This window comes from Homo sapiens, chromosome 3 (genome assembly GCF_000001405.40).
Source record: "Homo sapiens chromosome 3, GRCh38.p14 Primary Assembly".
In the NCBI taxonomy this organism is placed as follows: Eukaryota; Metazoa; Chordata; class Mammalia; order Primates; family Hominidae; genus Homo; species Homo sapiens.
The window spans coordinates 45,438,929-45,455,200 of record NC_000003.12 but is presented as its reverse complement, the minus strand read 5'-3'; the positions used below and the strand labels follow the sequence as shown (position 1 = coordinate 45,455,200).

Sequence of the window (16,272 nt, the reverse complement as noted above, 5' to 3'; positions counted from 1 at the left end):
GGAAGGTGTGCTCCTAAGAGGTTTGCACATCATAATAAAACCCAAGCATTGAATGAAAGACAAAAAAAAAAAAAAAGCAAAACACAAAGGCAATTTATCCCCCTAATGAAAGACTTGGGGGGAAGGGGGAAAACACCAAAAGAAATAGTGTCTCAAAAGATGCATCATCTGTGAGAATCCACATGATTTCTTTCCAGAACTCCAATCCACCTCAGCCACAGAGTTGCAGATTCAGGCTCAGACTTTCCAAAAGTGGTTAAATTTGGAGTCGTCAAAATCCAGGGCCCTGAGGCTCAGGGAGCACAGCACCTGCAACCCCTTGAAGCCCTGGAGTTGCTTCCTAAATCCCTTTGCTCAGGTCTCCTCTCTTACACAACTGTCTCTATCAATAGCTTCCCTCATCCAGCAATCCTGGATTTCCATATTTTGAACATTTACTTGGATGAACATGCTGATTTTTAAGCAAGCACAGTCTTATGAATAGGATATAATTTCTGGGCAACTTCACTGACTCTATTCATTTCCCTGGTTGGCATTTATGCTGTCTACCACCTACTGAAGCCAATTCCATGTTCCTTTGTAGTTAACTAGCCTTATTTGTAAAATAAAGTCAAGCCTGTATTGAAATGAACCTTAAATTAACACTGAAATCATTAAAACACCTGCAAACACACTGAGCTCTGGGTCGATTTTACCCACTGCTTCCCTCACAATAGTTATCTGGGAATATCACGGAATTGGACATTCCAAAGAAGGTAGTTAGTTTCCCCACTTATTAAAGGGTTAAACATTAGGACTAATATTTTTTTGCTTGAGTGATCTGTGGGAAGCATTTAGGAAGCATTTTAAAAATGCACCTCATAACACAACAAACACAAAGGAGCCATGTTCATAAAGGGTCAAATCTGCACAGTGATCAGTGGGAGCAGGCATTTTTGTCTCCTCTCTACTCTTCTTTGCCATTAGGCTCTTGGAGGTGTAGGTGACTTTGGGCTCCCTTGGGGATCATGTGGGCAGTATTCTCCTAATTTTGTGTTTATCAGCTTTCCTATCTGTGACACAGCAGCTGTGGTGCTTGCTGCCCCAGCCAGCCCTACTGTTCCAAACCCTCACGCCTCTCATCTCATCATTACCATTCCTCCTCTTCCCTCAGATCCTCCTTGCCTTGCCTCCCTGCCTCGCCCTTCACACAGGGTGCCTGTCCCTTCTAGATCACACCCACCATCAGCATGCTTTTGTCTCTTGGCCAGCATATCACTCCTCTGGCCCTTGGCTACTCTCCATTGTTTTCCCCGCCTCTCTCCCCTCAAGCTCTGCTTTTCTTTTCTTTCTTTTTTTTTTAAACTATCAAAGACCTTTTCTGAATATACTGTCAGCTTCAGGTTCCAGAAGGCTAGTAAAATATATATTTTAGGGTACTGATTTTTTTCAAGGTCTATTAGCTTCTTTCTTGACAAAGCATGCTTAACTAAGCAACATCACATAGGTCTTATAAAGTATCTAGCTCTCAAAATCAATCTTGCTCCATTCCATCAAGAATGGGCCTGAATTTGGACTGAGTCCAGGGGTAGCCCACAAGGCTACCGTTTGTTACTGTCACAACATTCCAAAGCCACAAGGAGGTACAGTGGAAGAGGTGCCAGTGTGTAGCAATTCTTTGAGTATGCTTCCTGAAGCCAAGGCCATGCTGCAAACTTAGCTTTACCAAGTGGGTAAATTAGCACCATCACCAGCTGCTACTAAATTCATGTAGACAGCTAAAGACAGACTCATAAATTAGGGGACTCGCCCTCATTCCCTAGAATGTCCAAGCATAATAAACCATTAATAACTATATCCACCATCCAAGGCTAAATACCAGCACAAGACTGATAATCAACAAGTACCATACAGGAAAAAGAACTTTGAAGAGAGATCAACAGGACTCCAGATAAGCAACTCCAGATAAAAAATGCACAAGGAACTAGAAAAGCAAGAACAAACCAAACCCAAAATTAGTAGAAGGAACGAAATAATAAAGATCAGAGTAGAAATAAATGAAATTGAGACTAAAAAGAAAGAAAAGAAAGAAAAAGGCCAATAAAATAAAAAACTTGGTTTTTGAAAATTCACACAAAATCAACAAACTTTTACCTAGACTAAGAAGAAAAGAGCCAAATAAATAAAATCACAGACAGAAAAAGAAACATTAAAACTTTTACCACAGAAATACAAAGGATCATTAGAGACTATTATGAACAACTATACATCAACAAATGGGAAAACCTAGAAGAAATGGATGAATTCCTGGACACACACACAACCTAGCAAGATCGAACCATGAAGTAATTGAAAACCTGAATAGAACAAGTCATGAGTTCAAAGCAGTAATATAAAGTCCTCCATCAAAGAAAAGATCAGGACCTGATGGATTCACTGCTGAATTCTACCATTTAAAGAAAACTAATACCCATTCTTCTCAAACTCTTCTAGAAAGAGGGAATTCTTCCAAATTCATTCTATAAAGCCAGCATTACCCTGATATCCAAACCAGACAAAGACATAACAAAAAAGAAAACTATAGGCCAATATCCCTAATAAACAGAGATGCAAAAATCCTCAACAAAATAGTAGTAAACAGAATTCAACAACACATTAAAAAGATCATTCACCATGATCAACAGGGATTCATCCCAGGGATGCAAGGATGGTTCAACATATAGAAATCAATAAATATCATGTCATACGACAAAATCAAGGACCAAAACACATAATTTCCATAGATGCTAAAAAAGCATTCAATAAAATTCAACATCCTTCATGATAAAAAAAAAAAATACCTCAACAAATCGGGTATAGTAGGAACACACCTCAACATGATAAAGGCCATATATGACAAGCCTATAGCTAATACCACACTGAATGGGAAAAAATTGAAAGCCTTTCCACTAAGATCTGGAACAAGACAAGGATTACCACTTTCACCACTTTTATTCAACATAGTACTGGAAGTCCTAACCAGGGCAATTAGGCAAGAGAAAGAAATAACTGGCAACTAAAATGGAAAGGAAGAAGTCAAATTATTCTTGTTTGCAGACAACATGATTTTATATTTAGAAAAACCTAAAGGTTCCAACCAAAAAACTTAGACTTGATAAATGAATTTAGTAAAGTTGCAGGATACAAAATCAACACACAGAAATCAGCAGCATTTCTATATGTTAACAATGATCAATCTGAAAAAGAAATCAAGTAATCCCATTTATAAGAGTTACAAATAAAATACCTAGGAGTAAATTTAAGCAAGGTTAAAGATCTCTAAGGAAAACTATAAAACATTGATGATAGTAATTGAAAAGGACAAACAAAAAATGCAAAAATATACTATGTTCGTGGATTGGAAGAATATTGTTAAAATGCACATACTACACAAAGTGATCTACAGATTCAAAGCAATCCCTATCAGAATATCAATGACATTATTTACAGAAATAGAAAAAAACCCCTAAAATCTGTATGGAACCACAAAAGACCCTGAATAGCCAAAGCAATCCTGAGCAAAAACAGAACAAAGCTGAAAGCATCACACTACCTGATTTCAAATTATACTAAAAAACTATTGTAACCCAAAAAGCATGGTACTGCCATAAAAGGAGACAAACAGACCAATGAAATGAAACAGAGAACCCAGATATAAATCCATGCACTTACAGTCAACTCATTTTTGACAAAGTTTCTAAAAACATACATTGGGGAAAAGACAGTCTCTTTAATAAATGTTGCTGGGAAAACTGGATATCCATATACAGAGGAATGAAACTAAATCCCCATTTTTCACCATATAAAAAAAAAACTCAAAATAGATTAAAGACTTAAATGTAAGACCGAAAACTATGAAACTAGTAGAATAAAACATTAGGGAAATGCTACAGGACATTGGCTTGGACAAATTTTTTTTTTGGGTAAGACCATAAAAGCACAAGCAATAAAAGCAAAAACAGACAAATGGGATTACATCAAGCAAAAAAGCTTCTGCACAGCAAAGGAAACAATGAACAGAGTAAAGAGATAGCCTACAGAAGGGGAAAAAATATTCGCAAATTATTCATCTGACAAGGGATTAATAACCAGAATATATAAGGAATCCAAACAACTCAATAGCAAAAAACAAACAAAAATCCAAATACTCCAATTAGAAAACAGGCAAAACACCTATATAGACATTTCTCAAAAGAAGACATACAAATGGCTAAAAGGTATATGAAAAAAAATGTTTAACATCATTAATCATCAGGGAAGTGCAAATCAAAACCACAACGAAACATAATTTCACTCAGTTAAAATGGCTTCTATTAAAAGATGGAGTAACAGATGCTGGTGAGAATATGGAGAAAGGGGAACCCTCATACACTGTGTGAAAAACAGTAAGGTGGTTCCTTGTAAAATTAAAAATAAAACTACCACATGATTCAGCAATCCCACTGCTGGGTATATATCCAAAGGAATTGAAATCAGGATTACCGAAGAGATATCTGCACTTCTATGCTTATTGTGGCACTATTCACAATAGCCAAGATATCAATCAACCCAAGTGTCCATCAGTGGATTAATGGATTTAAAAAATGTGGTATATACACACTATGGAATATTATTCAGCCATAAAAAACAATAAAATGAATGGAACTGGAGGTTACCATGTGACATAAGCCAGGCATAGAAATTACCAATACCAAATGTTCTCACTCATATGTGAGAGCTTAAAAAAGTGGATCTCATGGATGTAGAGTGTAGAATGGTGGCTGCTGGGGCTGGGAAAGGAAGGGGAGAGAGCGGGGGATAAAAAGACAATGGTTCATGGGTACAAAAACACAGTTACATAAAAGGAATACGTTCTAGCATTTGATAATACAGTAGGGAAATTATAGTTAACAATAATTTATTGTATGTTTCAAAATAGCTAGAAGAAATGTAATTATTTCCAACACAAAGAAAGATAAATGTTTGAGGTGATGGATATCCCAATTACCCTGATTTGATCATGACACACTGTATACATGTATCAAATATCACATGTAAAGTATGTACAACTATGATATATTAATTTAAAAACCCCCACAACAACAAAACCCTCTAAAACTACATCCATGGAATAAAACTTTTTAAAAAAGAGTTTTAAGAAAATGTTTTTCAAAAGGTGAAATTAATGTTCTGCCAAGTAGAGGTCTTTATGTTCATATTTGCAGCTGAAAATACTTTTGTTTTGTGAAAGCAACAGCAGATTCTTTTTGCAACAGAACTGAACATTTGGTGGACAGTGCTTGTTAAGAACAAAAGACTTAAACACTCCAGCTACGTTTAGTAATGCTCTGCTCAAATACTATTCCTAAATGTTCATTTACCTGAGTTATTTTGGTTAAATATGCTTTACAAAGTATATTTCTAAAGTCAGTTAACTTTATAAAGTTTATTCCAAAAATTTGTATTTTGAAATAAACCACAGAAATAGAATGCTAATAGCAATGTTTTCTGTTTTAAGGCCAATTTGAAAATAGCTATCCAATAAAAAGAGATTGCTATGGTCTGAATGTGTCCCCCAAAGTTCATGTGTTGGAAACTTAATCCCTAATGCAACAATGTTAAGAGGTGGGACATTTCAGAGGTGATTAGGTCATGAGGGCTCTGCTCTCATGAATAAATTGATGTTGCTATCATGGGTGTGGGTTAGTTATCAAGAGTGGGCTTGTTATAAAAGTGAGTTCAGCTGTGTTATGGTGGCTCATGCCTATAATCTCAGCACTTTGGGAGGCTGAGGCGGGCAGATCACCTGAGTTTGGGAGTTCAAGACCAGTCTGACCAACATGGTGAAACTTGTCTCTACTAAAAATACAAAAATTAGCTGGGCGTGGTGGCGCATGCCTGTAATCCCAGCTACTCAGGAGGCTGAGGTAGGAGAATTGCTTGAACCCGGGAGGCGGAGGTTGCAGTGAGCTGAGATCACACCATTGCGCTCCAACCTGGGCAACAAGAGCAAGACTCTGTCTCAAAAAAAAAAAAAAAAAAAAAAATAGTGAGTTAAGCTTCCCCTTGCTCCCTCCCTCACACTCTCCCTCTCTCTTGCCCTCTCACCTTCTACCGTAGGATGATGCAGCAAGAAGGCCCTTGCCAGAGGCCGGCACCTTGATATTGGACTTCCCAGCCTTCAGAACTATGAGGAAATACATTTCTGCTGCATAAAACTGTTAAAATACCAGTCTCAAGTATTCTATTGTGTTGGGAACAAGCCCCCAAAATCTGGCCATAAACTGGCCCCCAAACTGGCCATAAACAAAATCTCTGCAACACTGTGACATGTTCATGATGGCCATAAAGCCCACGCTGGAAGATTGTGGGTTTATCAGAATGAGGGCAAGGAACACCTGGCCTGCCCAGGGGGGAAAACCACTTAAAGGCATTCTTAAGCCACAAACAATAGCATGAGCAATCTGTGCCTTAAGAACATGCTCCTGCTGCAGTTAACTAGCCCAACCTATTCCTTTAATTTGGCCCATCCCTTCCTTTCCCATAAGGGATACTTTTAGTTAATTTAATATCTATAGAAGCAATGCTAATGACTCCCTTTCTGTTAATAAATATGTGGGTAAATCTCTGTTCGGGGCTCTCAGCTCTGAAGGCTGTGAGACCCCTGATTTCCCACTTCACACCTCTATATTTCTGTGTGTGTGTGTGTGTTTAATTCCTCTAGCGCTACTGGGTTAGGGTCTCCCCGACCGAGCTGGTCTTGGCACTACTGTAGCAGTACAAACCAACTAAGACAGAGATCCACCTGGAAAAAAACCAAGACTAAATCCTGACCAAACAGCAGTGTGGGGGTGGAGGCAACCTAGCAGGCCCTACCAGCCAGAGCTGACTGGGAGCAGCCTAGTGTGGTTTTCTCCATCTGGTCATGTGTTTTGGTCTTTTCCTCATAAACACTATCTCGTTTTAGTCAAAAAGCCAATATTTGTTATGGAATAGAACACTATTTTTTACCTCAGTTCTTTCCTCTTCCTTTTGCCTTACCCCAGTAGGTTGATGGGCTCAAGGGATCCTCTTACCTCACCGTCTTGAGTAACTGGGACTAATTTTTTCCTACTTTTTGTAGAGACAGGGTCTCACTGTGTTTCCCAGGCTAGTCTTGAACTCCTGGCATCAAGCAATCCTCCTGCATCAATCTCCCAAAGTGCTGAGATTACAGGTGTGAGCCACTGTCCCAGCTCTGACTTTTTAAATACTATTTAATTTTAATTACTTTAAATTTAAGCAACCACATGTGGCTAGTGGCTATCATCCTGGACAGTTCTAGGCCACACTATGATGCTCTTGCCTCATCTCCCACCATTCCAAGTCTTACCTATCATTATTGAGCTCCCACCATAACAAACACTTTCATTTCTCGGGAGACCACTGTGATAGCTGTTCTTTAACTATTACCTTTAATCTTTCCAAGAACCCTGTGTCTTCCTCCATTTTCTGCTACTGTAATAGAATACCACAGACTGGGTAATTTATTGATAGAAGTTTATTTGGCTGATTCTGGAGGTCAGGAAGTCCAAGAGCATGGTGCCAACATCTGCAAGGGCCTCTGTGCTGCATTATCCCATGGCAGTAAGTAGAACAGCAAGTGACCGTATGACACACACACACAGAGAATTTGGCTGAACTCATCCTTTTATTGGGAGCTCATTCCCACAATAATAACATTAATCCATTTATTAGGACAGGGCTGTCGTGACCCACTCACTTCTTAAAGGTCCCTCTTCTTAAATCCATCACAATGGCAATTAAATTTCAACATGAGTTTTGGAGGGGACATCCAAACCATAGTACCCCACAAGGAAAATGTCCCCATTCCCATTTAGCAGATACAAAACCATGTTTCCTAGAGGTTAAGTTACCCAGATGTTCACATAGCTGGGAGAGGGAGCTGAGCTAGGATTTGAGAAGCCTGTGTTCTTTCTTCTTATGCCCTCTCCTTGATCTCATTACAGGAACCAGACAATAGGTTATGGGGTAAGAATTCAAGGGTAAAAGAAGCCCAGACCCTGTCTTGATGACACTAAACTTAAGTAGGAAGTAGTTACGTTCTGGGTCTGCTGTGACTGATTTTATGAACTTGAGGTAGCGTTCATTTTCGCTGCTACTACAATGATGTATCCTAAAGAGATTCACTGAATTTTAAAAGTCCAGCTAATTTTAACTTACCTCCTTTTGATAGGCCAGCCCAGCCTCATACAGTTTAATAAAGAGATACTGAGTCCACTTGTAGTAATCTGGCAAACACGTAGTTATTTCCTGCCAACAAAGAAGAAAAATAATGTACAGGCCATTATAAACATCCCCCCAGCCATGCATGCTCAGTCTTGCAACTGAATTTTGAAAAGTAATGAAATCACAAAAATATTTACCAGCTCAAAATATTTTCACCAGTTTGTAAAGTAAGGAGAGTCACAATTTATTCTGGAAAGAGATGTTATTGAAATGCCACCTACACCTTTCTGAGAGCATGTTCAATGAGAAACTCAACTTCAAGTCTTTTGCACACCTCCTGCCCACTCATCTATGGCACTAACAAGTGAATTACATTGTACAAAATTGGGTATTAACATTTTTGTCAGCACAAACATACACTGGGGGCCTGATGCTTATTCACAAATGTAGCTCATTTTGAAAGCAATCACAAAATTCATGAGGAATATTTGCCTGCCTCAGTATGATCCTCATTTGAAAATACATCTTGTGTTTCCACATAAAACTGGGGTCTAGTGGCTCCTTTAGACTCGTATATTCCATTTATTCCATTATGTGAATCAGGCTGTTGTTTACTTAGGAAGAACAATTAAAAACATTAAACTTAGTAAGAAACCACTTGGTTTATATTTCCAAGCCTAAATCAAAGGTTCCCCAAATTTACTTTCTGTCCTAAAAACACATTTGTTATAGAATTCTTAAAAACAGAATTTACAGTTGATAAAGTCAAATAAGCATAAAACCTCTATACTGTCACGTTTCTTTTCTAGTGCTCTTTAACTTCAAAAACTAACGCAGAAATGAATGATGGGAGGGAATGTTTCAAATGACTCCGTTTGTAACAGACTTTTTTATTTTTAAGAGACAGAAGTCTTGTTCTGTCACCAAGGTTGAAGTGCAGTGGTGTGATTGTGCCTCACTGTAGTCTCGAACTCCTGGGCTCAAATGACCCTCCCTCCTCAGCCTCCCCAGTAGCTGGGACTACAGGTGTGTGCCACCACGCCTTGTAATAAACTTTTGATAGAAAGCGTACTTTTACCAAAAGTGCAAACAATTCAGTCTTCCTTAAGATGAATAAATGAGACAGCTTCAAACCCGGACTTTGGGTATGTGGTAGGAACTAAGCAAGGTGTCAGGTAAACATCTGTGCCCCCAGTGGGCTATTTTTCTTATGTAAGACTCCTGAGTCCTTTTTTGTGCTGTTTTATAAAAACAGCAGAGTAATAACTATTAGAAAACAATTCTTTTAAAAGGAAAATAACACAACTCTGACTATTGGCTCTACCTTCCCACTTCAAGGCAACTAGTGAACCACCAGCCAGTCAAAGGGCTTTGCCCACATTGTAGCTGTCCACCTAGGCCAGCTTCCACAACACAAGAGCCATAATTTCTGAGCCATGCATACGACGCAGCCTGCTCTGGCTTCCAGCTTCACAGATGTCTACAGGGGTGTCGTGCACAAAGATCTTCACCAACTCAAGAACCTAACCAGCACTCTGCCAATGGGCTTGCTCCCCAAAACCTCCAAATTCATCCTCATCCATCATCTTTTCCTCCACAGCTACCCCTCCAGCTAGCATGGCACAGAACTTGTTTTCCTCAGTTTTCTAGACAAGAAATTTAAAAACTTCCACTGTTAACAAAACCCAGGGCAGGAGCTATGTTTGGTCTATTTCATTTTGCTCATTGTAGTATGCTCAGGTCCTGGCACATTGAGGCACCCAAAATTGTTGTTGAAGGAAGAATAAACTAGATAGAGATATGAACTACTGACATTGAATCAAATTTGATTCCTTCATGTAGGTTTCACCACAAAATTCAAATTATTACACTGTTGTCCCCAAGATGAACTGGGATAGGGGATGTGGGTAAGGGGTGGAGGTAGTATGGTAAAAATATTCCTAGACTTGGTCATTGTGGATATATCTTTTTATTTTTAAAAAATCTTTACCCACTAGAGGTTTAGAAAAGTGTGTGAAATAATTTTGAGAAAATAATGAGAATTGTTAAATCTAAGGGATAGAGGTTCAATATTTTCTTTTCTCAATTTTTCTATTGAGTTGTTCATAATATCAAAATTCTTTTAGTAAATATATAACACATAATATATATTATATATGTAACACATATACAACATATTTTATATATACACACATATATAAAATATACAAATATGTGTTTTTTTCTCTAAGCCGATGAATCTGCTTCCTAGAGTGAGAGTAAAAATTACACAGCAATGAAACAGCATTGTTTTTTTTTTTTTTTTTTTTTTGAGACGGAGTCTCGCTCTGTCGCCCAGGCTGGAGTGCAGTGGCGGGATCTCGGCTCACTGCAAGCTCCGCCTCCCGGGTTCACGCCATTCTCCTGCCTCAGCCTACCAAGTAGCTGGGACTACAGGCGCCCGCCACTACGCCCGGCTAATTTTTTGTATTTTTAGTAGAGATGGGGGTTTCACCGTTTTAGCCGGGATGGTCTCGATCTCCTGACCTCGTGATCCGCCCACCTCGGCCTCCCAAAGTGCTGGGATTACAGGCGTGAGCCACCGCGCCTGGCCGAAACAGCATTTTTTTTTTTCCCCTAGGTTGATGGTTCTGAAAATCACTTTTACCTAAAGTGAAAAAAGGGCTGGGCGCAGTGGCTCATGCCTATAATCCCAGCACTTTGGGAGGCTGAGGCGGGGGGATCACAAGGTCAGGAGATTGAGACCATCCTCGCTAACACGGTGAAACCCTGTCTCTACTAAAAATACAAAAAAAAAAAAAAATTAGCCAGGAATGGTGGTGGGCACCTGTAGTCCCAGCTACTTGGGAGGCTGAGGCAGGAGAAGGGCGTGAACCCAGGAGGCGGAGCTTGCAGTGAGCTGAGATCACGCCAGTGCACTCCAGCCTGGACAACAGAGCAAGACTCTGTCTCAGAAAAAAAAAAAAAAAAGAGGATAGATCTAGTCAGGAAAAACAATGATCTTCATCCAACCAAGCGTTAGCCTACTTTCAGTCAAACCTGTAACGAAAGGGCATTCTCTTTGGAAGTGTCAGCTCTGAGGCAAAGGGAGGGGTGGGGAATTACAGGCCCCTGCTTTCACCCTGGCTTCAAATTTGGATCTGATCTATTTTATTTATATTACATTTCTGCACATGTCATTTGAAGAAAAAGCAACCTCAACTGCTAAAAGAGTACAGCTTGAAAACCACTGCTTCCGGACCATTATTCCAATCACTGGCGGGTTCATTTCCAGGCATATTCACAGCACTCATAAGTTCCGTCGTACTGAAATGCGTGACTCACCTGCCCAGAGGAGGCTGGGAGTGCCCTGAGGAAGACACTGTGCTCCTGTCCCTTTTATTCCCATCTGCTGCACACAGGGCCCAGCCACCGACCGACCTTCAGTAATGTCCACTCCATGAAGAAATGCCAGAACAGACACTCGCAAGGCTCACCAGGAGTTCAGTCTCACAAGGATCATAAACACAGTTGGGAACAGACACCACTTAGAAATACATCTCCTGAAAGTCATAGAGCCCTCTGGAACCTTCCCTGATTTTCTCATTAAAACAAAGCAAAACAAAAACAGCTATTTTGAGTCTTCTAATGCTTTATCTCAATCAAAATAATCAAAGCCATCTTTCTGAAATTAAACTGCTGAAAAGCTTTTATTTTAGTCACCTGGCTAGAAATCAAGAGTCTATTTTCATATTTTCACTGGGAAGTGCCTATTCAAAACCCAGTTCTGTAGACAAGGGTCTTCTAGGGGTTTCAGTACCCACAGAGGTGATGTTAATAGTCCTTTCTTCCCTTCTCTAAAGGAAGAGTGCTCAACCGGGAAAATTTTGTTCCCCAGAGACCATCTGGCAAATACTGGAGACATTTTTGTTTGTCACAACTGGGGTGTGTATGCTGTATGTGTGCTACTGGCATCTAGTGGATAGAGGCCAGGGATGCTGCTTTAAAAACCTATAGTGAACAAGACAGTCCCCAGAACAAAATAATCACCCAGTCCCAAATGTCAATCAATAGCGCCAAGGTGGAGAAACCCCGATCTGTGAGTTCAGATTTCTTCAGTTTGAGTCTATAATCACAGGCTGATTAAAGAAGCATCAATCAAACAACTCTCTGGGGGCCATTCTATACATACTGATAACATGTTAAACATCAATGAGCAAAAGTGGAAAGATGGAGGCGGTTAAGTGAGTTGCCCTTCTCCATCGGGGGTAGCCCTATCTCTGTTAAGCATGACTTGCAGCGCACACAGGAATGCTGCATGATGCGACCACCAAGCCTTCTACCAACTCGGAGACCAACCAGGGGAGAGACATGTCAAGTCTGGGGTTGCAGGCAGATAAAATTCTGAAACTCTATTATGTGTGCATAATGCTATTCACTGGTAATAAGTGGTTGATTTTACTACCTAAATTTTAAATCATTTAATGTGCCTCCAAGTAGTTGTCTGACTTGGAAAATCTACATAATAAATTTGTGTAGTAAATTTCCTATTTTGAAGTTGCATACAGTTTTTCTTGATACAACATGAGTCCATCCCTTCCCATAAAATAGTTGTTGAACAACTAAACGTTTAAAGATCATCTATGAGAATCTGCCCCACAGCACCCAAATTCCAGACTGAACCCTGCCTGCAACTCCAAGGGGGAACCCTGTGTCTGTGGGGTGGGGCTTCCTGTTGCTCACATCTGCCCACAAGCTGTGGGATAGCTTGTGGGTAAGACTCCTTAGGGAGACCACCACAGAAGTCAAATAAAAAGTCTTTTCCTTTGGCCTGCTTTTCAAATAAGCCAACGCCTACGTTAATGCACCATTGTTTTCAATACAAAAGTCAGGCAATTCAAAGTTATAGCTACAAAAGCATTGGCAATTCAGCCACACTCCACATAAATCTACATAAAAGTGTCAACTTTTATATCTTCCTGAGCTCTAGAAAGTGCAATCTAGCTGCCAAGAGACCAAATTTACGAATCTGGGATTCCAACTAGAATTGTTCCTCCAAGCTGCATTTCTACATTCTGTAATACCTGGTTTTTAGCATTAAAAATATTTTGCACATTCACAGGCAACCACAGAGCCCAACACACAATCTGAGCTCTCTTAGAACACAAGTGAGGCTCAAAACATCATCTTTTGCGACCTGCCACCCATACCTCAATGACTCTGCACAAATTAACAATTAAGCCAGTCTGGCCAGCAGCTCCTGAGACACAGCGATTCATCAGTGATAAAGTCTAAGAAGGCTGAGGCACGGAGGCCTACCTTACTGTTCCTGGTATAAAATAATACTTGGTCTGTGAAGGAAGAATCACAGCACTCAGCCACCTTCCATGTGCCCCACTGAAGCCTCCTTAGGCTCACACTCCTTGCTCCAGGAAAGAGCCTGGGAGAGTATGGTCTCAGGAAAGACCCTGGAGCCATCTGACTTGGGTTCAAGTCCTCGCATCCTCACTAGTTTGTGGCCACACCACATTTCCCTACTAGAAAACAGAAGCAATGAAACACATCTTAGAGGGTTGCTGTGAGGTTAAAAGGCAATTGTGTGCAAAGCATACGGCTGGGCTTGCAGGAAAAATCAACAAGTACACCCCTTGGCTTTACTCAGTGTGTGATGGGCCGGGTGCAATGGCTCATGCCTATAATCCCAGCACTTTGGGAGGCCAAGGCAGTCAGATCACCTGAGGTCAGAAGTTAGAGACCAGCCTGCCCAACATGGTGAAACCATGTCTCTACTAAAAATACAAAAAGTAGCCAGGCGTGGTGGCATATGCCTGTAATCCCAGCTACTTGGATGGCTGAGGCAGGAGAATTGCTTGAACCTGGAGGTGGAGGTTGCAGTGAGCCGAGACTGTGCCACTGAACTCCAGCCTGGGCGACAGAGCAAGACTCCGTCTCAAAAAAAAAAAAAAAAAAAAGAGTGTGTGATGGCAGGGGTGAGTGAGGCTGGCTTCATTACCGTACCACTCAGAGGTGGGCTGATGTACCCATCAGCCTACTGGGGTAAGGCACAAGGGAGAGAAAGAACTGGGGTAAAAAATAGTGTTCTGCTCCTTAACAAATATTGGCTTTTCGACTAAAAAGAGATGGTGTTTATGAGGGAAAGACCAAAACACATGACCAGATGGAGAAATCCACACTAGGCTGCTCCCAGTCAGCTCTGGCTGGGAGGGCCTGCTAGGTTGCCTCCACCCCCACACTGCTGCTTGGGCAGGATTTAGTCTTGGTTTCTCGGTCCACTTTGACAGTGATGGCCCTAGATTTCAGAACAGCTCATTCAAAGCTGTCATGTATTTTGGTGGCATCACAACCTCAGGATATTTAGGTTAGCTACCAGGAATTTAATAAAACAAAACAAAACAAAAAACCCGAGGCAACATGTTTATCAAGTCAATCATCCGGCGGCCCTGTAAGCATGTCAGAAAGGTGAGCGGCCACTGCACATCACAGTTTCTAGCAACAAAGCATCACTTCACCTCCCCAAGTCTCATTGTGAGCCTCCTGCCTTCAAAACAATGAGTCTTGGAAACAGAGGAGAGTTGTTCACATGCTTTTTGATCTTTTGTAATGTGCACTTTTGTCATTTGCAACAGATCAAAAGGAAACATGTTTAGTGATGGCTTTGTCTTTTATGCCTTCCCAGGTACTTTAATTCTAAAGTGGAGGGATTCTAAAAGCATAATACAGCTCAAAGGCAGAGAAACTAGCCTTGGCATTCCTATTGTGCAGCTTAAAAGAGAAAATAACAATCCAGGCTACATCAGATGATTCTCACTGATGATGGTTCAAGCTTCCAGTCCACAGCTCTGTACACCTGCGGCGTTGGAAGAGGGAGAGACAGGCTCATGAGAAAATCTGCCAGAACCAAGACACTGACGGCCACTCTCCGCTAAGTCCTCTACACTAAGCACTGGTTCTCAAACTTGGTTACACCTTGGAATTGAACTTTAAAAGTTACTAATGCCTAGGCCCCACCTCTAGGAATTTAATGTGGGGCCAGTGTTGAAAACCACTGCAAAGAAGTTCCTCCCGAATATATCTCTCTCCCAAATACTGTGTGAAAGACAGGGTCCTGTCCTGCCTTTATGTCTTTACAGAACTTAATGAAACAGACTTCAGTAGGAGCTAAGAACATGATTTGGTTCGCATGAAATTTCTATAAGGGTACTCCGACCACTATGCTAAGAGGGATCTCTCATAAGCCTGCTCTTGATTCAAATCCTCCCTGCATGCCTCAGCCCCACCCCAACACAGATTCTCTTTAGTCCTTACATTCAATCCTCCGTTTTCACAAAACAAACATAAAAAAAAAAAAAACAGTTAGAAATAACAACTTTAAACCCACCTTCGTGGCAACAGATATATAAACTTCATTAGGCAGCTACCTGTGCTCAATGGCCAGCTGTTTAAAAATGCCAGAGTTGGCTGGGCGCGCTGGCTCACACCTGTAATCCCAGCACTTTGGGAGGCCAAGGTGGGCGGATCACGAGGTAAGGAGTTCAAGAACAGCCTGGCCAACATTGTGAAACCCTGTATCTACTAAAAATACAAAAATTAGCCAGGCATGGTGGTGGGCGCCTGTAATCCCAGCTACTCGGGAGGCTGAGGCAGGGAATTGCTTGAATCCAGGAGGCGGAGGTTGCGGTGAGCCGAGATCATGCCACTGCACCCCAGCCTGGGCGATGGAGTGAGACACTGTCTCAAAAAAAAAAAAAAAAAAAAAAAAAAAAAGCCAGAGTTTCTGACAGCTCATTTCTCTTGCTGGAAGAGAAATGATTCTTGAAAAGGAAGCTGCAGAAAACCTAATGAGAATGGCCTTCCCCTCCCACAACCCCCAACAGGGCTTCAAGGGAGGAGGAAGTAGGGAACAGGGCTAGTTTCTCACTTAGATGCTACTAAATGGTCCTTATGCAGGAGAGGGACAGAGAGTGAAGATCAGACACTCAGTACAGCCCTGACTTTGAGTCTGAATTAGCCCTTCTTGTATCTAACAAATCCCCCAGCAATTTACAA

At 40.9% G+C, this 16,272-nt stretch overlaps 1 protein-coding gene across 6 annotated transcripts in view; it reads right to left on the bottom strand.

The window, feature by feature from the left end:
* Positions 1 to 16,272, bottom strand: part of LARS2 (leucyl-tRNA synthetase 2, mitochondrial) — a 160,832-nt gene that overhangs the window by 94,207 nt on the left and 50,353 nt on the right. For all 6 annotated transcript variants that reach the window (NM_015340.4, XM_017006042.2, NM_001368263.1 and 3 more), the window contains one exon: positions 8,221 to 8,310. In NM_015340.4, coding sequence (NP_056155.1) covers positions 8,221 to 8,310 — 90 coding nt within the window. The remainder of the gene's footprint in view (positions 1 to 8,220; positions 8,311 to 16,272) is intronic.